This window comes from Homo sapiens, chromosome 15, assembly GCF_000001405.40.
Source record: "Homo sapiens chromosome 15, GRCh38.p14 Primary Assembly".
In the NCBI taxonomy this organism is placed as follows: Eukaryota; Metazoa; Chordata; class Mammalia; order Primates; family Hominidae; genus Homo; species Homo sapiens.
In genome coordinates this window covers 42,551,071-42,578,099 of record NC_000015.10, presented here as the reverse complement: position 1 = coordinate 42,578,099, position 27,029 = coordinate 42,551,071, and the positions used below count along the sequence as shown (strand labels likewise).

The window sequence follows — 27,029 nt, the reverse complement described above, 5'->3', positions numbered from 1 at the left end:
TCAACTCTAGTCCTACTGAATAAATAGGCACTTGAGACACAAATGCAACTTTTCTGTAATCTCAGAAAGAGCAGTAGGTCTAATGAATCAAATCTTGGCTCTTACTACTTTTAGAACTTAAGCCAAACCATTCTGTCATCTGGAAAAACAAAAAATAGAAGCTTGGGCCAGATCATCTGTAAGATTTCTTCCCAAGCACAACATCAGATCCAATGACTGTCAACTGAGTGTGTGCCAATGACTTATTTGAAGGTTGGAACAAACCACATAATCACCAGATTCCCCACATTCAGATAAGCCTCAATGAAGACAGTATAACACCCCCTGAAGAACAGCTGCCATCTCTGCAGGATTCTGTGAGAAGAGGGAAGTGATCCGGACCTCTTGGCTGGGGCCACACTGGGTTTATCTGTATCTGCTCCTGAATCTTCAGCCTGCTACAATCTGTTCACACCTGGGTATCTACAGTCTTGACATCCTACCACTTGCTGCTCAAGGCTCTTAACTTGAGCTGAAAGTAAATAAATTGTGCTTTCATTTTCCCTTCACTTTTGTTTGGTATGTTATTCTCTACTGTGGCTGCAAGTAAACCAATTTCAGCATCATTTTCTTAATCTAATTCATGCTATTATAAATTCCTAGTGTCCGGCTGGGCGCAGTGGCTCACGCCTCTAATCCTAGCACTTTGGGAGGCCCAGGCGGGCAGATCACGAGGTCAGGAGATCGAGACCATCCTGGCTAACACAGTGAAACCCCATCTCTACTAAAAATACAAAAAATTAGCCGGGCATGGTGGCGGGTGCCTGTAGTCCCAGCTGCTGGGGAGGCTGAGGCAGGAGAATGGCGTGAACCCGGGAGGCGGAGCTTGCAGTGAGCCGAGATCGCGCCACTCAACGCCAGCCTGGGCGACAGAGCGAGACTCCATCTCAAAAAAAAAAAGAAAAAAGAAAGAAATTCCTAGTGTCCAAGGAACTGAGAAGTTACTGAATGTTAGGAGTGGTCAATACTGTTATCCTGAGAACCCTAAAAGAACAGTTTCACAAATACAGAATATACCAGAGACTACCTCCAGCATAGCATCTGCACTTATAAAACCCCCCCCAGCCCTGAGCTACCACATCCAGTTATGAAGAAGCCAGGTGTCACAAGCCATTTACCAATCAAAACGCAGCAGGTCAGGCATCTGCTTTCCCTCTTTCTTCAGTGTACCTCTTTTGCCTTCTTCCTATTCTCTTTAACTTTTTGTTTCTTTCTATCTCATTGCTCTTCTCATTAGTCTGTCAATTACAAGACTTTTCAAAGCCAATCATTTCTATATGAGGACGAACATAATCCACACTAGTACCCAATTTTATTATGGGAGACGATACCTTTCTTGATCCTTCTGCCCAATTATCAAGCTATCTTATGTCCCAGAGATTTTTAAACTTGCCAAATAATTCCAACATGTGCCTCCTGGTCCCCAAAGCACCCTCTGCCAGATTTACCTTCCACCACTCACTTCCCTCCACACCAACCACCCTTTCCCCACCAAAACTTAACCTCTAGTTAGTCCCTTACAGTCTAAGTCCTTTGCTCTTGGCGGTCTTACTACATAGAAGGCTCTTTAAACTCTCTCCACCTGTCAACAAACTCTAATTGATCTTTAAAAAACACTTCATCTGGTGACAAAGAGAAAAAAGTTCGTGGCTGCACACTGGATGTCTCAAGGGCTGAGATGAGAGGTGCGGAATCAAAATAAGCCACGAGAAAACGGGCACTGAGGGCTCTGAGAGAAAGAAGGGGTTGGAACAACTTCCCCTACTTAACAGTTCCGTCCTGGATTAAATCAGCTGTCGAGCATAGAAAGAAACCGCGACCTGTGTCGGCCTCAATTTCCCCCTCACGCCCTCACCTTCTGCTTTCTCCACATCTTCGCAGAGAAGCCCACGCGCACCCAGAAACACACACCATTCAGCCTCAGTCCTCATGGGTACTCCCAAGCCCCCAGAAAGAGAGAGGAGAATGCTCATCCCTCTCCCAGCCTTTCTCAAAGGCCCAACCCGATGCAGCAAGCCTCGAGCCGCCGTCCCTCGAAACTCCTGCTGGCAGGACGCCAGCGACGCTCACCCAGGGCAGCCCTCCCGCGGCCGTCCGGGAACCGCTATCCCCAGGACACAACGCGAAAGCTCGACTGAGGTCCCGTCCCGCCAGGCCTCCGTGGATTCCGGACCCCGACCCCCCGGGTCACTTTGTCACCGATTTCTGCGCGCCAGAATCTCTGCAGGGGGAGACGCGGACCTCCCGCTCTTTTCAGCTCCTGTGAAGCCTCAGGCGCCCTCTCCCGCGGAGACTCACCTCTTGCTGAGCGGCCGGACCCGCACGGCGACCTGCACGTTCGCCATCCGTCTGCCACAACCCAAGTCCAGCGGGTCAGCTCAGCGGCAGCATCCCAGGCCCCCGCCCTAAGCCCAGACACAGCCCCAACCCAGCCCCGCCCGCCCCACGCGCCTCTGGGGACGCCGCCGCGCGGACGCGAGCTGCCGCCCGAGCGGGGCGGTGCCTGCCTAGCTTCGGCCAATCCTGAGCCCGGTGGGCGGGAGAACTCCCGGCCCCGCCTCCCCTCAATCCTCCTTAAAGCCTCCTGACTCGCCCCCGCCCAAACACGCGCCGCAGCCAGAGCAGGCGGGCCCGTGTGGACGTTCGGCCAGTCCTTAGCCTGGTGGGCGGGAGGATGCCAGGGCTCGCTCCGCCTCGTTCCATCCGAAGCCTCCCGGGTCGCCCCCGCCCAAACACGCGCTGCATCCCGAGCTGGGTGGTGCCCGCCGAGCCTTGGCTAGTCGGTGGGCGGGAGGACGCCCGGGCTCGCCCCGCCTCGCTCCGCCCTACAGCCTCTTGGGACGCCCCCACCCATGCGCGTGCCGCACCGGGCCCAGCAGTGCCGGCCCAGCTTCAGCCAATCCTGAGCCGAGTGGGCCGCGAGGACTCAGTGCTAAGTCTGTTGTTCCTGGCCCCGCTTACCCAGAAATAGTTTTTGTTCCTCGACTAGGTGTCCGTGCTATGTAAAGTCAAGTAAATCAACTTTTGGTCCGAAAGTTTGCAAAGTAATTTGCTAAATACTTTTATTCTCTGCGTTCGCTTGAACTGTCAATTCTGTGGTTAAATTTTCGAGGCAGGCCGGGTGCAGTGGCTCACGTCTGTAATCCCAGCACTTTGGGAGGCTGAAGCGAGATCACCTGAGGTCAGGGGTTCGAGTTCAGCCTGACCAACCTGGTGAAACCCCGTCTGTACTCAAAATACGAAAATTAGCCGGGCCTGTTGGCGTGCGCCTGTAATTCCAGCTACCCGGGAGGCTGAGGCAGGAGAATTACTTGAACCCTGGAGGCGGAGGCTGCAGTGAGCCTGGATCGCGCCACTGTACTTCAGCCTGGGCGACAGAGCAAAACCCTGTCTAAAAAAAATAAAATAAAAAAATAGAAGGCAGTCCCTTACTGGCAAGGTACTTCCTGACATCAGGGACAAAGCATAGATGGAACCAATTCAGATAAAGGGTTATTGTCCAGGTCTTCTTGTACAACCAAAAGACAGGTGGCTGGTGTTTATCTTTTCCCTTCAAGGCTTGAGGGTTAGCAGCCATATAGATAAGGGCAGTGCTGATCATAAACCCAACTGCATTTGCACAAAATATTAGCGTATCCCTTCCTGCCTTAAATCCTGGTGCTTGCTTCTCTTCCTTACTAATAAATGTCCTTTGTGGCATTTATTTTTCCAGAATAGGGAACTTGCATATGCACCGAAAAGCTGTTCAGGCAGATACCCTTTCTTCTCAATTATTTCCTTAATGGTGTCTAGGAACTCATTTGCTCCCTCTTGGTCAGCAGAAGCTGCTTCTCTTGTTATCTTGACATATTTTAAACCAAACCTTTCCAAATTTATCAAATCATCCCTTACTGGCATAAAATTGTTTGGATCCTTCACCTTCCTTTTGCTTCAAGTTGTCATATAATGACTTTGCTTGTTCTCAAATCATATTAAGAGTATATAGGTATATAGATAGGTATGTTTTCCTTTTTTTTTTTTTTTTTTTTTTTTTTTTTTTTGAGATGTTGTCTCACTCTGTCGCCCAGGCTGGAGTGCAGTGGCGCGATCTTGGCTTACTGCAACCTTCAACTCTCTGGTTCAAGCAATTCCCCTGCCTCAGCCTCCCGAGTAGCTGGGATTACAGGCGTGTGCCACCACACCCAGCTAATTTTTTTGTATTTTTAGTAGAGACGGGGTTTCACCATGTTGGCCAGAATGGTCTTGAACTCCTGACTTCAGGCAATCTGACCACCTCTGCTTCCCAAAGTGTTGGGATTACAGGTGTGAGCCACCACGCTGGCCAGGTATGTTTTTCTTACAGCAATCCTGTACCCACATAAAAGCTTCATTTTCTGTTTGTTGTTGTTGTTGTGTGTTTTTGGTTGTTTTGTTGTTGTTGTTGTTGTTTGAGACAGAGTCTTGCTCTGTTGCCCAGACTGGGGTGCAGTGGCACTATCTCAGCTCACTGCAACCTCTGCCTCCTGGGTTCAAGCGATTCTTCTGCCTCAGCCTCCCGAGTAGCTGGGATTACAGCTGTGCACCACCATGCCTGGTTAATTTTTGTATTTTCAGTGGAGATGGGGTTTCACCATGTTGGCCAGGCTGGTCTCAAACTCCTGACCTCAGGTGATCTGCCCACCTCGGCTTCCCAGAGTGCTGGGATTACAGGCATGAGTCACTGCACCTTGCCAAAAGCTGCATTTTCAATATGAGATAAAAAGACATTTCAGGGCCGGGCACAGTGGCTCACGCCTGTAATCCCAGCACTTTGGGAGGCCAAGGTAGGAGTATTGCTTGAGCCTAGTAGTTTGAGACCAGCCTGGGCAAAATGGTGAGACCTCATCTCTACACAAATTAAAAAATAAAAATAAACTATAAAAAGGTATTTCACAAAAAGCTCAAGGTTTTTGTGCCTCCTGGTGTAGCTGTGGTCATGGCTGCACAATTTTTTTAAATTTTACAATGGTCCTTACAATGGATTCATTTATCATGAAATGGTAGGCAACCACAGCTGCAGATCTATAGTACATATCAAGCAATTCAGCTTTTTCTTGTAATGTCATGACTTTTCTCTGCTTCTTGGGAGCACTTCCAGCATCACTAGTGGCACTTGGTACTGGTCCCCTGATGTTATTCAAGGCTTATGATATTGCACTGAATACGGTGAAAAACACCCAAGAACCTCAAGAGATCACTTTTTATTGTGATACACAGTTTACTGAAGAGAGGAACTGCTATGATGATTAGCATCACAGAGTTTTAAGCAGATGCTGGCAACACTTGACTCACTAAAACAGGAGGCAGTTACAAAATTACAGTAGTACAGTACGTACTAGTTTATAGAGTTATGTTTTTGGGGGGGCTTTCACATTTGTTGATTTTTATTGGCGATCTCTTTTTCAATACAATTTATGGCGTCATCACCATTTCCAGTCTGATTATACAAGTGCTAAGTGGCAGAAAGGTCTGGAATAAATACATTTTTAAAAAAAGGCAAAGCTGTGAAACTAAGTTGCATGCAACAGGTTCTATGAGGGTGGGGGAAGTGTGTGAGAAATAAAACAGAGTAAGACAATGTAATTGGAAGGTTTTAGCTAAAGTTCTTTTCAGTCATCTTTGTCTTTTACTCCATGTTTCAGGATGCTTGTGAACTCGATGTAATTGAAATTTCCCTTTTTGTCAATAGGTGCTTCTCTGTGCAGCTCATCCACTTCCTCATCTGTAAACTGATCCCCCATGGTTGTCATCAGCTCTCTCAGGTAATCTTCCTGAATGGTGCCTGTTGCTTCTTCATCAAAGCAAGCAGAAGCATTTCTGATGACATCTTCAGGATCTGTGCCATTTAACTTCTCACCAAACATAGTGAAATTAATGGGCCCTGGTGCCTCATTCATCGTGGCATCAAGGTATGCATCAGTGGGATTCTTCCCTAGAGAAGCAAGCATATCATGCAAATCTTCCTTGTTGATGAAACCATCTCTGTTCTAATCAATCATGTTGAAGGCCTCTTTGAACTCCTGAATCTGTGACTGGTCAAACATGGCAAACACATTGGATATTGTGCACTGAGGGCATTTCTTGGTGGTCTTCGTCTTTGCCTTTTTGCTCGACATGGTGGTGGTTTAATTCTGGCGCCAAACACCACAACTGGAGCCACCCTGTGCGAGATGACGAGCGACAGTGAAGAGTGTGGGGCTGTGGCCGGACAGTGGCGGCTATAGAGTTATGATTTAATACTGCATTTTAAATTTGCTTACACGTACAGTCTGTGTTTTCATAAAATTTAACTTTTAATTGATTTGTGTGTTTTGTGGTAGTAAATGATAGACTTGTATCTATATATATTTTTTGCATTCAAGATATCTGTAGGCCACACAGTTCATCTGTGAATTTTTCTTTTTCTTTTTTTTTTTTTGAGACAGAGTTTTGCTTTTGTTGCCCAGGCTGGAGTGCAATGGCACCATCTCAGCTCACTGCAACCTCCGCCTCCCGCGTTCAAACAATTCTCCTGCCTCAGCCTCCCAAGCAGCTGGGATTACAGGCATGTGCCACCATTCCTGGTTAATTTTGTAATTTTAGTAGAGACGGGGTTTCTCCATGTTGCTCAGGCTGGTCTTGAACTCCCAGCCTCAGGTGATCCACCCGCCTCCGCCTCCCAAAGTGCTGGATTACAGGCGTGAGCCACTGTGCCTGACCTGTGAATTTTTCAAGTTGTCACAAAGCTCCAAATTTCCAATATATTTATTGAAAAAAAAATTGTGGCTGGGCACTGTGGCTCACTCCTGTAATCCCAGCATTTTGGGAGGCCGAGGTGGGTGGATCACGAGGTCAAAAGATCGAGACCATCCTGGCCAACATGGTGAAACCCTGTCTCTACTAAAAATACAAAAATTAGCCGGGCATGGTGGTGTGCACCTGTAATCCCAGCTACTTGGGAGGCCGAGGCAGGAGAATTGCTCAAACCCAGGAGGCGGAGGTTGCAGTGAGCTGAGATGACACTACTGCACTCCAGCCTGGTGACAGTGAGACCCTGTCTCAAAAAAAAAAAAAAAATTGCATATGCACTTCAAGCTTATATTGTTCAAGGGTCTAATGCATAATTTTTTTAGTAAACTCAATTAGTGGATTCCCCAAATTGTGAGATAAATCTTTTATGTAAATTCATGTGTTTTACAGATATGTGAAGAAATCCCACAATACACTAATTACAGTCTTATTAAAATCTCAACTCTATTATAGATTTTGCATGTCAAGAAATCTTTTAGGTTCTGCTATTCCTCAGACTGTTCCTGACTTCATTGAGGGTTTCAGAGGATAAATCAGGGGTCAGACTGGTAGAGTCACATAGAGAAAGAAAGAAAATAAGAAAAATGCTAGGAAAACCAGGCAGCATCTCAATTCCTCCAGAATGGTCTTCACAAACTGGCATCACTGTTATGCTGGCAATAAATTTGCAAATCTCACACACCTCTTCTAGTGTAAGTAGGAAACACAGACATTCAGGCTAGGTGCAAGGGGCTAACACCTGTAATCCCAGCACTTTGGGAGGCCAAGATTGCTTGAACCCAGGAGTTCAAGACCAGCCTGGGCAACACGACGAGACCTCATCTCAACAAAAAAATTTAAAAGTTAGCTGGGTGTGGTGGGGCACAGTTGTAGTCCCAGCTACTTGGGAGGCTGAGGTGGAAGGATCCATTGAGCCCAGGAGGTTCAGAGTGCAGTGGGCTATGATTGTGCCACTGCACTCCAGCCTGGGTGAGAGCAAGACCATCTAAAAAACAAGAACAACAACAACAACAAAAAAAGGCATGCAGAGCTAATTTTTTTTTAATATCCACACATCTAAAAGTTGAATAATTAAAGAAAAATTAATCAGCACTGATTGACTCTGGAAGAGTATTAAATTAGCTTTCTCTTTGAAGTAGACCTCAGGCTTAACTTACCTCAAGCTCTTTTGATTCTGAGAGCCTATATGCCTATACTGTATAAGTTAAACAGTGCATCAGTCCTTTCTATCACTTTAAATTCAGACTAGGACTAAAAAATTTTAGTTAGAAATTACAAGTTTATTTTTATATTTTGAAAAAGGCATAATAGAAAACAAAAATAAACAACCAGGCATATCAATATTTGTGACATACACATACACACAAAAATGAATATAGGAAATAACACGAAGAAAAAGCATAGTATGTTTTGAAACCAACGTGGGGTATGAACAGATTTTTGATGAAATACAACTAAAGGTTTTAAGTGTCTATGTAATGTTCGAGATATTACGATCACTCTTATCCTACTAGCAAAAATTAGCAAACTAGGCTTTAAAACATGATTCCTGTTGTTTTAGCAGGATTTATTTTGGTAATGATCCTGCTTCCTTATAAACAACTACTTATCATTGTTGAAGTCTTCTTGTGTTAAGGAGTACAATGAGGCCAGGCGCAGTGGCTAACACCTGTACTCCCAGCACTTTCGGAGGCTGAGGCGGGAGGGTCGTTTGAACCCAGGAGTTCAAGACCAGCCTCAACAACATGGCAAAACTCTGTCTCTACAGAAAATACAAAAATTAGCCAGGCGTGGTGGCGCGTGCCTATAGTCCCAGCTACTTGGGAGGCTGAGGTGGGAGGATCACTTGAGCCTGAGAGGTCAAGGCTGCAGTGAGGTCAAGATTGGGCCACACCACACTCTCAGCAACCTGGGTGACAGAGTGAGATCCTGTCTTTAAAAAAAAAAAAAAAAAAAGGAAAGAAAAGAACAAAACAAAAAACAAAACTGATGTACATGTTTTAAAGCAAAATAGAACCCCAAGTCTAAAAGTAAAATAAGCCAAGGTTAGTTACAATACTGATTAAAAAGAGTATATCCTGAGGCAGTTGTTAGTATATCACTCTCTATTATATGCACAATAACCTCTGATAGGTAAAATATCTGAGCATTTTGCAAGGTAAACCTCCAAAGTTATACCACAGTGTGCCTTTTTCTTTGCTGTTTCTTCTTTGCCTATTCCTACAGCTACCAGTAAACACTTAGGAACTGCTTTGTATGCCAGGGTCTCCAAGACTACCTCCAGGTTCCATGATTTGCTAGGAGAATTCACAAGACTCAGCATATCATCACACAGCTATGATTTATTACAGCAAAAGCATATGAAGCAAAACAGCAAAGAGAAAAGGTACAGAGGCAAAGTCTGGGGGAAACCAGGTATAAGCTTCCAGAGTCCTCTAACAGTGGAGTCACACATATCTGTTGTTTCATTCCACCAGCAACTGAATTGTGACAACATGTGAGAAATGTTGTTTACCAGGGAAACTTGTTAGAGATACAGTGCCCAGGGTTTTTACTGGGGGCTGGTCACGTAGGTACCTTCTACCTACCATGTACCAAAATTCTAGACTCCCAGGAAGAAAGCAGGTTTTCAGCACAAACCACAGGTTAGCTACCATGAACGACTCTTTTCAGTGAGTGGAGCCCTCCTGTTAAGGTTTAAATATGTCCCCCAAAGTTCAAGTGTTGGAAATTTAATTGACATTGTAAAAGTGTTATGAGACCTTTAAAAAGTAATTAGGTAAGGAGGGCTTTGCCCTCATTAATGAATTAGTGCTGCTATCTTGGGAGTGGGCTCATGATAAAAGGCTAAGTTTAGACCCATATATCTTTCTCATGCTCACTTGCCATGTGGTGCCTTCTGCCATGGCAAGACCCTCACTAGATGCTGGCACCATGTTCTTGGACTGCCTAGCCTCCACACCTGTCAACCAAATAAACTTCTGTTCATTATAAAATACTTAGTTTGTGTAATTCTGTTATGACAGCAGAACAGACTAAGATACCTTCTGATATCTAAGTTCCCAGATGCAACAGCTGAGGACAAACCTTATAATCAGGCCTTTCAAAGGATAAGTCAGGCTGGCTGTGTTACTCTTTTCTGCATACTTAGTGACATTCCCACAGGAATAATCATCATAGACATTTTCAGATTCAAGAAGACCCTTCTAATTCAGAAACACCTTTTTTTTTTTTTTTTAAGACAGAGTCTTGCTCTGTTGCCCAGGCTAGAGTGCGGTGGCACGATCTGGGCTCACTGCAACCTCTGCCTCCTGGGTTCAAGTGATTCTCCTGCCTCAGCCTCCTGAGTAGCTGGGATTACAGGCACATGCTACCATGCCTGGCTAATTTTTGTATTTTTTATTTTTTTGGAGATGGAGTCTTGCTCCATCACCCAGGTTGGAGTGCAGAGGCACGATCTTGGCTTACTGCAACCTCTGCCTCCTGGGTTCAAGCGATTATTCTGCCTCAGCCTCCCAAGTAGCTGGGATTACAGGCGTCCACCACCATGCCCGGTTAATTTTTTATATTTCTACCAGAGATGGGGTTTCACCATGTTGTCAAGGCTGGTCTCAAACTCCTGACCTCAGGTGATCCACCCATCTGGGTCGGCCTCCCAAAGTGTTGGGATTACAGGTGTGAGCCACTGCGCCCGGCCTAATTTTTGTATTTTTAGTAGAGACAGGTGTTTCGCCATGTTGGCCAGGCTGGTCTCGAACTCCTGACCTCATGATCTGCCCACCTAGGCCTCCCAAAGTGCTGGGATTACAGGCGTGAGCCACCGTGCCTGGCCAGAAACACACTTCTTTTTTTTGAGACAGGGTCTTACTGTGTCGCCCAGGCTGTAGCGCAGTGGCGTGATCATGACTCATTGCAACCATGACCTCACAGGCTTAGGTGATCCTCTTACCTCAGCCTCCCGAATAGCTGGGACTACAGGCATGCACCACCATGGTCGGCTAATTTTTTGTTTATTTTGTAGATATGGGATTTCACCATGTTACCCAGGCTGGTCTTGAACTCCTGGGTTTAAGTGATCTGCCCGCCTCAGCCTCCCCAAGTGTTAGGATTACAGGTGTGAGCCACCACACCAGACGATAAACACACATTTTTAAAAAAAGAGAATTTCCCACCTGAGAAATGGTTAATTCACTTATATTAATAAATTGTCATGGCTATTTTTTAGCTTCTCTAGTTTTACTGAAAGGTAGAATAAAAATATATGAAAAACAAAGGAAAAGTCAGTTTGGTCTTAATGAACCTGAGATCTTGATACTCCAATATAAAGCAGGTTCTTTCAGTATTACCAGCAGCAAAGACTATTAATACCCATGTTACAGTCAACTAGAAATAGACTTCATATGACTACACATAATTAAGCAAAAATAAAGTTGATGACTACTTGGCATTAATAGTTTGGACATGAACTTTAGAAGTAAAAGGTAAAGGAGGCATTATAATATCATGTTTATAAAGATAACTTTCTTCAGCTAATATTTTGGGGATACAAGACGAAACTTCGTTTTGTTGTTTACGCCACTTGAGTATATTCTCTGCCAGTTCTTCTGTCTCAGTCACCAATATATCCATCTTTGCTAAAGCCTGGTTCTGTAACATTTGAAAAGGGAAACAGGAGAAATTATGTCTCTTATTAATTCATTATATCATCAGTAACTGATACCAAAGGTTAACACATGATCTTTTTCCAGCCCCTTACTTCAAAAGCTCCTTAAAACTGTGCTTTCCCACTTCTTACAGTACAAACCTACTCTTTGTGAGTTCAACTCTTTTGTCTTCAATAATCACTCAATGCAGATGACCCTCAATTTATATTGCTAAACCTAACTTCCTTCCTAAAATTCAGGCCCACATTTAAGACTACTGGTAATCTCTATCTGGATGTACCTTCAATATCTCAAACTCAGTCTAACTACAGTTCAAAAATGATTGACCATTTACTACATGTGCAAGATGTGTCAAAAAATAAACTTACTAACCTCTTTTTTTTTTTTTTGAGATGGTGTCTCACTCTGTTGCCAGACTGGAGTGCAGTGGCGCAATCTCAGCTCACTGCAACCTCCGTCTCCTGGGTTCAAGCGATTCTTCTGCCTCATCCTCCCAGGTAGGTGGGACTACAGGCACGTGCCACCACGCCCAGCTAATTTTTTGTATTTTTAGTAGAGACGGGGTTTCACCATGTTAGCCAGGATGGTCGTGATCTCCTCACCTCGTGATCCACCCACCTCAGCCTCCCAAAGTGCTGGGATTACAGGTGTGAGCCATTGCGCCCAGCCCACTTACTAACTTCTTTAACCCACACTTGATACTACTCACCTTCAAGTCACCCAGACTAGAAACTTCATTATTTTTGATGTGTCCCTTGTCCAATTCATAGCCAAGTTCTAAAAATGTGACCTCCAAAATCTAAAAAAATTATCTTCTGTATTCCTATGCTTTAAATCTTTTATCTGAATGACGGTAATTAGTCTCCAGGTTTTTCTGCCTTTGGTTTCTCTGCCTAGTCTTCTAATCCAGAGCTGATCAAACTTTAATGTGCACAGGAATCACCTGAGGAACTTGTTAAAACGTAGATTCTGATTCTGAAGTTCTAGGGTGCATGATGTCTGTAGTTTTGTATTTATAACAAGCTTCCAAGTGATGTTGATACTCTCTGCCCATACTCAAGAGTAGCAAGGCTCAGTCTGCTCTATCCAATATTTTCTCCATGATTAAGGCAGTTCTAATCAAGTCACTCCTCTGCACCCTTCACTAAAAAAAGAAAACACACACACACACACACACACACACACACACACACACACACACATTCAATGGCTCCCCAATACTCAGACAGTAAAGTCTAAGGTTATTAGTCTGGTTTTTAAGGCACTGCATAAACTAACCCTGAGCTAATCTCCTCAATACCTTTACGCATCAGCCAAAGTGGAGTATCACTTTTCCCCCATACTCTCTGGGTTCTTTGACTTTTATGTCTTTCCTCACATTGCTCCTTTTGGCCAAACTATTCTTTCTGATGCATGTCCGAATTTCACTTATTCCTTAAGATTCAGCTTACTTTGGCAAGTGCGGTGGCTCAGGCCTTTAATCCCAACACTTTGGGAGGCTGAGGCAGGTGGATCACCTGAGGTCAGGAGTTGGAGACCAGCCTGGCCAACATGGCAAAACCCCGTCTCTACTAAAAATACAAACTATTAGCCAGGTGTGGTGGTGGGCACCTGTAATCCCAGCTACTTGGGAGGCTGAGGCAGGAGAATCGCTTGAACCCAAGAGGCGGAGGTTGCACTGAGCCGAGATTGTGCCATTGCACTCCAGCCTGGGCAACAAGAGTGAAACTCCATATCAGAAAATAAATAAATAAATAAAGATTCAGCTTACTGCTAACACCTAAATAAATCTTTATTGCAAAGCTGGACATGGTGGCTCATGCCTGTGATCTCAGCACTTTAAGAGGCCGAGGCGGGTGCCTCACTTGAGCTTAGGAGTTCGAAACCAGCCTAGGTAACATAGTGAGAACTCGTCTCTATTTAAAAAACAAAACAAAAACTTTATTGAAGTCTTCCTATCCCTATCCTACTCAGAATCCTCCTAAACTGGAAGTAATTCCTCCCTTTTCTATGCTCAATAGATGGCATCTCTTTGTAATTCTTTGCTGCATTTATTATGCAAATATAATCCTATAAGTAGAAAATGTATATTTTACAGCTGTCTCACCAAACGTTGAGAATTTGAAGGCAGGGATTGGTCATATCTATCTTTCACAATACATGTAGCATAGCCACGGCACAATGAAGCCAACACATGTTTATTAAATGTTGGAATAAAATAATTTAAAATGGCTTCTAAATAAAAATTATATAAAAAAGAAAATGTTAAATCCAAGGTCTAAATAAATAAACACTTCTTCTTCTTTTTTTTTTTTTTTTTTAATGGGAGATGGAGTCTTGCTGTCGCCCAGGATGGAGTGCACTGGCACGATCTCAGCTCACTGCAACTTCTGCCTCCCAGGTTCAAGCAGTTCTCCTGCCTCAGCCTCCCGGGTAGCTGGAATTACAGGCACGCACCACCATGCCCAGCTAATTTTTGTATTTTCAGTAGAGATGGAGTTTCACCATGTTGGCCAGGCTGGTCTCCAACTCCTGACCTCAAGTGATCCACCCGTTGTGGCCTCCCAAAGTGCAGGGATTACAGGTGTGAACTACCATGCCAGGCCAAGAAAATACTTCTTGATTTAAAAATTAACTAGCTCGTAATATTAGCTATTAAAAAGCTAAACTGGGAGAGCACACCTCTAAGTTTCTAGTAAAAAATAACTGAAGATTGCTATATTAATACTCACCATTTTCTTTAGATTTGCAGCTAAATGAGGAATATTTCTAATTGTTTCAAGGTGGGTTTCTAATCTCTCAATGAAAGTCACAGCCAACTCCAGCAAATGTACCATATATCTGAAAGAGAAAGAAAAAAGTCAACCATTTTTTAAAGTTTAATTGTTTTACGTTCCTTTTCTTCTCCTTTAATCAGGACTTTTAATTTGAGATAAGAATTACAATCAACCTAGAGAGCCAATAACAACCTTCCTGCATTCATAGAAATATTAGTGATTAAAAAAAGGTCCTTCTCTTTCACTTTAAGCAACTTGTCATCCAAATAAAAAAATGGAAAGAGACAACAGTAATCCTATCTGGAATCCAACTTAATGTTAGAGAAACCTCAATGTTAATCATTTTCTCCCTAGATAAAAAAACCCCATTCCATTTTCTTTTCTTTTTTTTTTTTTTTTTTTGAGATGGAGTCTTGCTATGTCACCAGGCTGGAGCACAGTGGTGCAATCTCGGCTCACTGAAACCTCTGCCTCCTGGGTTCAAGCAATTCTCTTGCCTCAGCCTCCCAAGTAGCTGGGATTACAGGCGCCCACCACCACGCCTGGCTAATTTTTGTATTTTTAGCAGAAGGGGTTCATTATGTTGGCCAGGATGGTCTCGATCTCCTGACCTTGTGATCCACCAGCCTTGGCCTCCCAAAGTGCTGGGATTACAGGCATGAGCCACCTTGCCCAGCCCCATTTCTTTTTTTTTTTTTTTGAGACAGAGTCTGACTCTGTTGCCCAGGCTGGAGTGCAGTGGCACAATCTCGGCTCACTGTAATCTCTGCCTCCTGGGTTCAAGTGATTCTTGTGCCTCAGCCTCCTGAGTAGCTGAGATCACAGGCGTGCACCACTATATTCAGTTAATTTTTGTATTTTTAGTAGACACAGGGTTTTGTCATGTTGGCCAAGCTGGTCTCAAACTCCCAGCTGGCCTCAAGTGATCAACCCATCTTGGCCTCCCAAATTACCGGGATTACAGGCGTGAGCCATGACGCCTGGCCTCATTCCATTTCAACTTACTCATTCTCTGTGAAGAATGAAGACAATAAGGATAAATGTACTTAACTGAAATAGCCTACATAGAAAGCTACTTTGAATCTCTGCACTTGCAAAAATGCTTTCAAATCATTGCCTAGTTCTTAGATGTAGTACAATATATACATTAAGGGTAATGATAATGTACTAAACAGATACTGAATATAGCCACAAGAAAGGGGTTTTGTTTTCTGTTTTGAGACAGAGTCTCACCCTGTTGCCCAGGCTGGAGTGCAGTGGCACAATCTCAGGTCATTGCAACCTCTGCCTCCTGGGTTCAAGTGATTTTCCTGCCTCAGCCTCACCAGTAGCTGGTATTACAGGCATGTGCCACCATGCCCAGCATATTTCGTATGTTTTGGTAGAGATGGGGTTTCACCATGTTGGCCAGGCTGGTCTTGAACTCCTGGCCTCAAGTGATCAGCCACCTCGGCCTCCCAAAGTGTTGGGATTACAGGCATGAGCCACTGTGCCCAGCCTTGTTTTGTTTTTTTGGAAGAATAAGTTTTTGTATATCTATTATTTTCCTACAAAATAAAAAATCTGACACTTAAGATACTGATTTGCTTAAGCTAGTGAGGCACTGGCGGAGAAAGTTAGCAATGAGATCCCCAGATGCTTGCTTCGTATTTATTTGAGACAGGGTCTCACTCTGTCACCCAGGCTAGTGCAATCACAGCTCACTGCAGACTTGACCTCCTGGGCTCAGGTCACCCTCCCAGCTCAGGAATACAGGTGTGTTCCATCATGTGTTGCTAATTTTTATATTTTTTTTTTTTGTAGAAACAGGGTTTTGCCATGTTGTCCAGGCTAGTATTTATCATTAGTCATAATCTACATCTTCAATTTGATACTTGTAATACTCTGTGAGGAAGAGGGCAATAGAACTCATCTCTATTCTATTTATTGGGAAACTAAGGCAAAAATGTAAATCATTTGCTCAAGGCTTTGAGGCATATAAACAGTAGAGATGAGAACAGAATCCAGGTTTTTTCCTCCCTTAGTTGATAGTGTTTTCATCTGCCCCAGTTAAACCCCGCCAATAGAATTTTTACATATAGGCAACATTAACTCAACAATGAATGTACTTTACAACAATGAATTTACTTCACATACAAACAGTTTTTATTGTTACATGTTATGGATCTAATTTCTTTCATTAAACTCATAATTTATAATTCCCAAAACACGATGGCCAAGTTCTTCCTTTTTGCCATAGGTATAATGGTTTAAAAGCAAAGATTTTCTTTCTGATTTAATATATCACCATTAATAATGTTAACAAATACAATCACTAATTGTTTTATGAATTCTGCTACAAAGTAACTGCAAAACAAAAAGTAAACTCAGAAAACAGGTGTAACTGTTAATTTCTACTTTTCAGTCTAACCTGTGATAAACAGCTTCAATAGGTAAGTTTTCCTGGCACATGGGTTTCAACAGTCTTTGCCTAAGGGATCTCTTCTCTTTCAGCACTGCTTCCAAATGATTATTCATGCTTTGCAGAGTATGACACTTCTGAGCTATACAAATTAAAAAACAGTAATTATAGTTAGCAATAGGACAAATAACAGAATAATTTCTTCTTTGCCTTGGTTTGACACTACCCATGTCAAAAATTCATCCTATCATTACCCTCCTGTCTCCTTTTTGCTGTCTTTAATACCAATACCAATTTCATTTTCAACAACTTTCTCTTAGTCGGTTTTTGTATATCTAATATATTTCTATTATCTCTTTTCCTAGTGATAACCAAATCTAGTGCTAAATTCTTTCTCTGTGTTTCTCATCTCTACTTCTTATTCAGTTCTTATAGCCAGAGCTATATTCTTAACACAAAGTCTTTTTTCCTATCCCTGACTCTAATAGTCTATAAAAGACCATCGAAAAAGAGTCACCTTAGCTGGTGCTCTAGCTCATACCTGTAATCGCAGTGTTTTGGGAGACTGAAACGGGAGAATTGAGGCCATGAGTTCGAGACCAGCCTGGGCAACATAGCAAGACTTCATCTCTACAAAAAAATTGAAAAAACAAAAATTAGCTGGGCATGGTGGCACATGCCAGTAGTCCTAGCTACTTGAGAGAATCAGTTGAAACCACGTGTTGAAGTTACAGCGACCTGTACTTCAGCCTGGGTTACAGAGTGACACACTCTTAAAAAAAAAAAAAAAAGTCATCCTACAAGCTATTTCTGATTATCTCATTATTTTCCCCATTCAGTTAATGGCTGCCAATTGACCTTTCTTTAAAATTCTTCTTTGGAAAAATTCAGATTTGCAGAAAAGTTTCAAAAAAAGCTTGGTGAACTCACACATACATTTTACTTATTCACCGATTATTAACATTTGGCTACATTTTCTTTTTATCTTCTTTCTCTCTCTTCTCTCTCTCTCTCTCTCTCTCTCTAATTTTTGCTGATCCACTTTAGAGTAAGCTGCAGACAGCATGATATTTTTTACCTGTAAAACGTTAGCATGTATTTCCCAAGAAGAGGAACATTCTCCTATATAACTACAGCACATTATCAAATTCAAAAAATAACATTAATACAATACTACCAATATTTAATACAGTCCATATTTAAACATCACTAAGTATCCCAATAATGTCCTTTACAGCAAAAAGAATTTTAATTTTTGAGACAGGGTCTCACTCTGTCACCCAGGCTGGAGTGGAGTGCTACGATCACAACTCATTGCAGCCTCGACCTCCCAGGCTCAAACAATCCTTCTGCCTCAGCCTTTCATGTAACTGGCACTACAGGTACATGCTACAATGCTGGCTAGTTTTTGTATTTTTTTTGTAGAGATAGGGTTTCACCATGTTGGCTGGTCTTGAACTCCCGGGCTCAAGCAATCCACCCACCTTGGCCTCCCAAAGTGCTGGGTTTACAGGCGTGACTCTCCACGCCTGGCCACAAGAACATTTTCTCATCAAATATTCAAAACATTGCCAGCCATGGTGGTATGTACCTGTGATCCCAGCTACTTGGGAGGGTGATTTGGGAGGACTGCTTGAGCCATTCAGGACTACCCTAGGCAACATAGGAAGACCCCATCTCATTAAAATAAAAAATCGATCCATGATCATACAGTGCTTTAGTTGTCATGTCCCTTTAGTCTCTTTTAATCTGAAAAGTTCCTCAGACTTTGTCTTTCAAGTTCTCCTGACTTTGAAGAGCCAATTTGGTGACTTTTTATGCTATTTGTACTACTCAAGCCAACAGAACTTCTATTTCAGCATAGAAATACAAGATTTCATTAGCTTTGGGACAACACCTGGAAAAATGATGGTGTATCATAATTTGACTGACTGGTGCTTATTTACAGTAATCCAAGAAAAAGTTGAAATTCCAGTGATTATCCACTTAACCAAACCACTTACCCAAAAAGAAAGGATGAACAACATCTGCTGTATCTTTTTCTAGTTTCAGGAGTTCAATTTCCAGGTTTTTCTACATGAGGAACAAAAGTAACATTTAGCTCAATCAGAAAGTGTCCATGGCCAGGTGCGGTGGCTCACTCCTGTAATCCCAGCACTTTGGGAGGCTGAGGCAGGTGGATCACCAGAGGTCAGGATGTAGTGAGCCGAGATTGTGCCACTGCACTCCAGTATGGGTGACAGAGTGAGACTCTGTCTCAAAAAAAAAAAAAAAAGAGTCCAGGGGATTTACTGAAGTTTTTCATTTTGCTGTTCTTGCCCTGCTGCTGCTACTCTTACTACTATTACTGTAACTACTATTAGTAAGTAAACATGTAGCTAGCTAGTTATGTGCTAGACACTGTTCTAAGTTCAAAGGAATTGCTGTTTGAACCAATAAAGTTTTTTTGTTTTTGAGACAGGGTCTCCGTCTGTCACCCAGGCTGGAGTGCAATGGCCCAAACATGGCTCACTGCAGCCCCGATTTCCTAGGCTCAAGTGATCCTCCCAGCTCAGCCTCCCAAGTAGCTGGGACTACAGGTGTGTGCCACCATGTCTGGTTACTTTTAAAATTTTTTGTAGAGACGGGATCTCCCTGTGTTGCCCACACTGGTCTCAAACTCCTGGGCTCAAGCAGTCCTCCCACCTTGGCCTCCCAAAGTGCGAGGATTATAGGTGTGAGCCACTACATCTGGCCAACTTTTGTTTTTGTTTTCCTATACTAGGAGTAGAAAGTGAAAAGTTCAGGCCGGGCGCAGTGGCTCACACCTGTAATCCCAGCACTTTGGGAGGCCGAGGCGGGCAGATCATGGGGTCAGGAGATCGAGACCATCCTGGCTAACATGGTGAAACCCCATCTCTACTAAAAGTACAAAAAATTAGCCGGGCATGGTGGCGGGCGCCTGTAGTCCCACCTACTCATGAGGCTGAGGCAGAAGAACGGCGTGAACCTGGGAGGCGGAGTTTGCAGTGAGCCGAGATTGTGCCACTGCACTCCAGCCTCCAGCCTGCGTGACAGAGCAAGACTCCGTCTCAAAAAAAAAAAAAAAAAAAAAAAAGAAAGTGAAAACAAAATGATTTACCTGGTAGATTTCAGCTTGAATATTTGTGATCTGCTGTAGTCTGGTGAAGTTCACAAAACAAGAAACTGTTTTCTTAGACATGTTTAACATCTCCTATTGGTAAATGAATAAGGAAAGTAGCAGAATGTCACAAAAAGTTTCTAGGTACATTGGAATAGCATGCCCATAGTCTAAAATATGAGAAAATATTATGTTCAACACTGCCTTTGAACATGAAGTACAAAGTAAAATAGTAGCAATGTGTAATTCCTGTTTTAGAACCTTCACCATCACAAATCACTTGCTCAAATATTTAAAAAAAAAATAAGAGAAACAAACAACACACTCCCTTTGTATTATTTCCTAAGGTACCATACAAAATAGATTTGTATTACTGATAGTTTATCAAAGGATTCAAAGGCTAAATTTGTTGGAGAATCACCTCTACCTTTCCAAATGACTCAGGCCCAGTCTCTCAGAGCTTCCGGGGTTGAAATCAAATATTTTCGCCTTCATGGAATTATTTATCTGATTCGTTAAATGACCTCAGTTGCCTACAAGTCATTCATACTGTGTATGTTCACATTCTCATCTTTTAGTTAAAGGATTATTTGTATCCAGGCATAATTATTCTTTTAAAAAGGTTACCCCTTCTTTTTCATCCTTTCATTCCATGAGTCCATGCACATTATCTCAGAATTGAGTATTATCTTGTGCATTCCTAGACTTCATCCATAATTTTCTCTATCATCTTGCTTTCTAGAATGCTAGCACAGCAAAGAACTTCATATATATATAATATATACATTATATACAATGTATATATTATATATAATATACATTATATACAATGTATATATTATATATAATATACATTATATACAATGTATACATTATATAATGTATATATAAAATATATATTATATATAAAATATATAATATATATAAAATATATATTATATATAAAATATATATTATATATAATATATATATTTTTAAATGGAGTCTCACTCTGTCGCACAGGTTGGAGTGCAGTGGTGCAATCTCGGCTCACTGCAAGCTCTGCCTCCTGGGTTCATGCCATTCTCCTGCCTCAGCCTCCCGAGTAGCTGGGACTACAGGCGCCCACCACCATGCCCGGCTAATTTTTTTGTATTTTTTAGTAGAGACGGGGTTTCACTGTGTTAGCCAGGATGGTCTCGATCTCCTGACCTCATGATCTGCCCACCTAGGCCTCCCAAAATGCTGCGATTACAGGCGTGAGCCACCGACTGAGTTTCGCTCTTGTCACCCAGGCTGGAGCACAATGGCAACATCTCTGCTCACTGCAACCTCTGCCTCTTGCATTCAACTGATTCTCCTGCCTTAGCTTCCCAAATAGCTGGGATTACAGCTTCCCAAGTAGCTGGGAGTTTTTGGGATTACTGCCACCATGCCCAGCTAATTTTTTTTTTTTTTTTTGTATTTTTAGTACAGTTGGGGTTTCACCATGTTGGCCTGGCTGGTCTAGAACTGCTGACCTCAGGTGATCCACCCGCCTCAGCCTCCCAGAGTGCCCAGATTACAGGCGTGAGCCACCGCGTCCAGGCCAAAGAACTTTAGAGATCAGATAGGCCAGGGACTGGAAAACTATAGTCCATGAAATAAATGCAGCCCATTACCTGTTTTTGTACAGCCTGTGAACCAGGCATGGTTTTTATATTTTCAAATTGTTGGGAAAAAGAAAATCAAAGACAATATTTTATAACAGGCTGGGCACAGTGGCTCATGCCCGTAATCCCGAACTTTGGAGGCCGAGGTGGGTAGATCATTTGAGGTCAGGAGTTCAAGACCAGCCTGGACAACATGGTGAAACCCCGTCTCTACTAAAAATACAAAAATTAGCCAGGCAGGAGTGGTGCACACCTGTAATCCCAGCTACTCGGGAGGCTGAGGCAGGAGAATTGCTTGAGCTTAGGAGACAAGGTTGTGGTGAGCTGAGATTGCCACTGCACTCTAGTCTGGGCGACAGAGTGAGACCCTGTCTCAAAAAAAAAAAAAAAAAAAAAAAGCCTGGGCGCAGTGGCTCACACCTGTAATCCCAACATTTTGGGAGGCCATGGCAAGTGGATTACCTGAGGTCAGGAGTTTGAGACCAGCCTGGCCAACATGGTGAAACTCTGTCTCTATTCAAAAAAAAAAAAAAAAAATTAGCCAGGCGTGGTGGCAGGCGCCTGTAATCCCAGCTAGTCAGCTAGTTTGGGAGGCTGAGGCAGGAGAATTGCTTGAACCTGGGAGGCAGAGGTTGCAGTGAGCCGAGATCGCGCCACTGCACTCCAGCCTGGGTGACAGAGCGAAACTCCGTCTTAAAAAAGAAAAGAAAATGATCTGAAATTCAAATTTCATGGTCCAGAAATAAAGTTTTATTGGAACATGACTTCTCTCATCCATTTACACACTATCTCTGGCTGCTTTTATACAACCACCTAGTTGTGTAGCTGCAACCATATGGCCCACAAAGCCTTACATATTTACTCTCTGGCTCTTCATAGTAAAAGTTTACTGTCCAAAAATAATCAATTTTATGAACACTTACTGAGTTAGTCAACGAAATATTCAAATATGAGTGAAACAAGCTCTCTACCCTCATGAGGCTCATAATGGATGGGAAGAAAAAGGTATTCTAGATAGAAAGATCAAAAACATTACAAATGCTCAATAACCACCAGTGTTAGCATATATGTGAAAAGAGGGGTAAGATGTAGCTGAAAACATAGTCTCCAACATAATCATAGATGATCCTGAGTGCTATGCTCAACAATCATACTGCAGAAAATGGGAGCAACTGAACATTTTCTGGTGAAGAAGTAATATAATCATACATAATACTTATTTAGAAATACAGGCTGGCATGATGGCTCACACCTGTAATCCCAGCACTCTGGAAGGCTAAAGCAGGAGAACTGCTTGAGCCCAGGAGTTTGAGACCAGCCTGCACAACACAGGGAGACCCTGTCTCTACAAAAAATTAAAAAAATTAGCCAGGCAGCCGGGCGCCGTGGCTCACGGCTGTAATCCCAGCACTTTGGGAGGCCGAGGTGGGCAGATCACGAGGTCAGGAGATCGAGACCATCCTGGCCAACATGGTGAAACCCCATCTCTACTAATAATACAAAAATTAGCTGGGTGTGGTGGCGTGCCTGTAGTCCCAGCTACTCGGGAGGCTGTGACAGGAGAATCGCTTGAACCCAGGAGGCGAAGGTTGCAGTGAGCAGAGATCACGCCATTGCACTCCAGCCTGATGACAGAGAGAGACTCTGTCTCAAAAAAAAAAAAAATTAGCCAGGCATGGTGACATGTGCCTATAGTCCCAGCTACTTGGGAGGCTGGGGTGGGAAGATCCCTTGAGCCTGGGAGATTGAGGCTGTAGTGAGCTGTGATCATGCTACTGCAACTCCAGCCTGGGCAACAGAGTGAGACCCTGTCTCAGCGGCGGCGGGGAAGGTGGGGATATTTAACTGGGGCAGTATGAAAAATAAAACTGGCTGGGCGTGGTGGCTCACACCTGTAATCCCAGCACTTTGGGAGGCCGAGGGGGTAGATCACCTGAGATCAGAAGTTGGAGACCAGCCTGGCCAACATGGTGAAACCCTGTCTCTACTAAAAATACAAAAATCAGCCAGGCATGATGACATATGCCTGTAATCCCAGCTACTAGGGAGGCTGAGATGGGAGAATCACTTGAGCCCAGGAGGCTGAGGCTGCAGTAAGCTGTGAGCGCACTACTGCACTCCAGCCTGAACAACACAGAGAGACTCTCTCTTAAAAAAAAAAAAATACACCTACAAAACAAACAAAATAAAAACACTAATGAAGAGGGAGGAGGGAATAGGGAATAGTACAGAGTTTACATCTGGAGTGATAAAGATGTTTTTGAAAATAGTTGCACAATATTGAGTATAGTAAATGCCACTGAAGTGTACATTTTAAGACAGTTAAAATAGTAAATTTTATGTTATATGTATTTTACCACAATAAAAAAAAAAGAAGGAAAACCCTGGTAACTAGCTAACATAAAGAAAAAACACTAGTGGAGAAATAGACTGGAGAGGTTGGATATTTAAACAGGTGGCTGCTACAGTATTCCAGGTAAGGATGAGAATGTGGACTAGGTCAGTAACAGTTAAAAAGGAAAGGAAGAAAAGATGGGAGTTCCTGCAAAGATGGAATTGACAAATCTTAGTTGATATGGTAAGGGATAAAATCCAGTTAATACTCTAAGGATTTTGCTTCAGGTGAGTGGACAGAGTTATGCCATTCACTGAAGTAGATAACACAAGATATTTTACTGATGGCAAAATTGAGGAACAGGAAAGTATTACTCCAACTTCACACTGCCAGTGTGTGCCAAGATGGAAGTGAGAACACATCTAATCCACTGCCCTTCCATCATATCAGCTGACCCTTTTTTCTTTGTTTCTCTCAGGAGGTAAATGAAAGTAAAATATTTTCTACAATTTATCACATTGTAACCAACCTGTTCACTGGTATATCTCCCTCTCTCCATGCTTACACACTAATCTTAGTTGTACATCTGGCAAACTAGTAAACTGTCGGGTTCAACAATAGAGTAATGGTGCTTAGCTAAGAACATGCAAGAGAAACCAGAGGAAAAATAAGAATGTTTAAGAAGCAGATAACAAAAAAGGAGAGAAGAAAGAAAGAGGGTCAGGTGCAGTGGCTCTCACCTGTAATCCCTGCACTTAGGGAGGTGGAGGCTTATTTTCCATAATAAATAGGAAGTACAACTATTTGAGGATTGAGACTTAGTTTAACACATTTAAAAAAAAAAAGAAAAAAGTATCAGGGATTGGGGAATACAGAAAAGTCTTTTCCTTTAGCTATTGTTACTATATATTGCTATTACATGCCCCAAAGGGCAAAAGAACCCTGAAAATGAAAGGATCCTGAGAAAAAGGAGTCTATTCAGGGTATTTCTGTTTATTCCGTGGCTAGGCACAAGAAGAAGCTCAAATCCAGAACCTTTATACTTAATATAAAAATCCTGGCCTGTAATCCCAGCACTTTGGGAGGCCGAGGCAGGTGGATCATGAGGTCAGGAGTTCGAGAACTGCCTGACCAACATGGTGAAACCCCGTCTCTACTAAAAATACAAAAATTAGCCGGGCGTGGTGGTATGTGCCTGTAATCTCAGCTACTTGGGAGGCTGAGGCAGGAGCATTGCTTGAACCCGGGAGGCGGAGGTTGTGGTGAGCTGAGATCGTGCCATTGCACTCCACCCTGGGCAGTAAGAGCGAAACTCCATCTCAAAAAAAAAAAAAAAAAATCCTGGTAACATTATATACCATATATGTATGTATAAACTTGTAATTGGTGGGCACTCTTTCTTCTTTTTCCTATCCCTTCCTTTTCATACTGAATTCTAGCTGAGGGACATTAAAAGGGAGGTAGTATAGCAGAGAATTTAAGAGCAGAGGCTCTCAAATGGGAGAAGAGGTATAGAGGAGAGTAGGACACAAGTTAAGAAAACAGAATTAGTAGATTCTGTGGGTTTTTTGGTAGATCCAGACCCTGATCTTATTAATTGCCAATAAGCAATGATCAAGCTTTGGTCAAGACTCCATGACTCACTCACACTTGCTGGAAAAATATCTAGAATGTAAGGCCACTAAAGCAGTCCCTAGGGGAATAAACTAAAGCAATACCCCATTATCCTACAGATAGCCCTACCTTTCTTTCACCAAATCACTCTCTAACAGATTGAAACAAAACTTCAAACAAGCTATGTTTTCTAGAAGAGTTGTATCAAATCACAATTTTAGGAATCACTCAATTTTTAAAAAATCCTTGCCAGCAGGAACTCAATAGTCTTAATTTTTAATGCACAAAAAATGATGTGCATTAAAGGGATGGGCTGTTTGAAGGGATGACGTGACAAATCATTTTGAAAGAATCAATGCTAAATCCTTCTAATAGGAAAAGGTTTTTGGCTGGGTGTAGTGGCTCATGCCTGTAATCCCGGCACTTTGGGAGGCCGAGGCGGGTGGATCATTTGAGGTCAGGAGTTCGAGACCAGCCTGACCAATATGGTGAAACCCCATCTCTACTAAAAATTAAAAAAATTAGCCGGGCGTGGTGGTGCGCGCCTGTAATCTCAGGTACTCAGGAAGCTGAGGCAGGAGAATTGCTTGAACCAAGGAGGCGGAGGTTGCAGTGAGCCAAGATTGTGCCACTGTACTCCAGCCTGGGCAACAGAGTGAGACTCTGTCTCAGGGAAAAAAACAAAAAAAACAAAAAAAAAGAGACAAAAGTTTTTATGTATAAAGTTTGCTTAAAGTAAAACCAACCTACAAGTCTGTAAATAGCTCCCTCATTGGGACTAGCTGTGTAGTAAGGTTGTCAGAAGTCTTAAGGAGCTATGGAGTGGGATCTTAAGGAGCTATGGAGTGGGACATGTTAACTGTAGGTAAAACCAGTAACTGTCTAATTAATGTTACTTGAGAGACAGTAGACACCCCCAAGACAACCACCACCCCCAAAAAAGAGTTCACCCATCAATGCCTGAAATTCTGTCACCAGTGCCTTACTCCTTTGGTTTAGGCATTTGTATTTCCTACCAATGCTCTTTAGAGGGATACCAAGTACCAAAAGTTGGGGGGTTGTTTTTTTTTGAGACAGGGTCTTACTGTGTCACCCAGGCTGGAGTGCAGTGGCACGATCTTTGCTCACTGCAATCTCCACCTCCAGGGCTCAAGCGATTCTCATGTCTCGGCTTCCCGAGTAGCTGGGATTACAGGCACCTACCACTATACCCGGCTGATTTTTGTATTTGTAGTAGAGACTGGGTTTCACCATGTTGGCCCAGCTGATCTCAAACTCCTGACCTCAGGTGATCCACCCGCCTCGGCCTCCCAAAGTGTTGGGATTACAGGAGTGAACCCTCAAAAATGTTTTCTATTATGAGTTTGCCAAACTATTTTGTGACAGGAGAACTGGACAATACAAGTGAGAGTACTAGGTAACCTGATAAGAAGAAAAAGGCTGGGTTCAGCTCCCAGTACTTTGGGAGGCCGAGACAGGCAGATCACCTGAGATCAGGAGTTTGAGACTACCCTGGCCAAAATGGTGAAACCCCGTCTCTACTGAAAATATGAAAATTAGCAGGTGTGATGGCAGGTGCCTGTAGTCCCAGCTACTCGGGAGCACGAGAATTGATTGAACCCAGGTGGCAGAGGGTACAG

At 43.0% G+C, this 27,029-nt stretch overlaps 2 protein-coding genes and 1 pseudogene across 20 annotated transcripts in view, besides 2 other annotated features; all 3 read right to left on the bottom strand.

Moving 5' to 3' along the window:
* Positions 1–2,494, bottom strand: part of STARD9 (StAR related lipid transfer domain containing 9) — a 145,393-nt gene extending 142,899 nt beyond the window's left edge. For all 13 annotated transcript variants that reach the window (XM_011521831.4, NM_020759.3, XM_011521834.4 and 10 more), the window contains exon 1: positions 2,338–2,494. In XM_011521831.4, the coding sequence (XP_011520133.1) occupies positions 2,338–2,384 (47 nt within the window). In that variant the 5' untranslated portion in view covers positions 2,385–2,494. The remainder of the gene's footprint in view (positions 1–2,337) is intronic.
* Positions 317–376: a silencer, noted in NCBI's record as "silent region_6375". NCBI's record gives its function as "represses an Ori minimal core promoter by ATAC-STARR-seq in GM12878 lymphoblastoid cells {active_cell/tissue: GM12878}" and the evidence as "EXISTENCE:reporter gene assay evidence [ECO:0000049][PMID:35858748]".
* Positions 2,357–2,986: a silencer, noted in NCBI's record as "silent region_6374". NCBI's record gives its function as "represses an Ori minimal core promoter by ATAC-STARR-seq in GM12878 lymphoblastoid cells {active_cell/tissue: GM12878}" and the evidence as "EXISTENCE:reporter gene assay evidence [ECO:0000049][PMID:35858748]".
* On the bottom strand, positions 5,407–6,191 carry MYL12BP1 (MYL12B pseudogene 1; annotated as a pseudogene).
* HAUS2 (HAUS augmin like complex subunit 2) overlaps positions 8,106–27,029 on the bottom strand; it is a 21,157-nt gene continuing 2,233 nt past the window's right edge. Inside the window, exons 2-7 of one of the 7 annotated variants that reach the window (NM_001323631.2) lie at positions 19,810–19,902; positions 18,692–18,761; positions 17,230–17,318; positions 16,698–16,830; positions 14,243–14,351; positions 8,106–11,493 (exon numbers count right to left, since the gene is read on the bottom strand). In NM_001323631.2, coding sequence (NP_001310560.1) covers positions 11,284–11,493; positions 14,243–14,351; positions 16,698–16,804 — 426 coding nt within the window. In that variant the 5' untranslated portion in view covers positions 16,805–16,830; positions 17,230–17,318; positions 18,692–18,761; positions 19,810–19,902 and the 3' untranslated portion in view covers positions 8,106–11,283. Of the gene's footprint in view, positions 11,494–14,242; positions 14,352–16,409; positions 16,831–17,229; positions 17,319–18,691; positions 18,762–19,809; positions 19,903–27,029 lie in introns of those variants that run through there. The other 6 variants (NM_018097.3, XM_017022397.2, NM_001323630.2 and 3 more) reach the window with 6 other exon arrangements.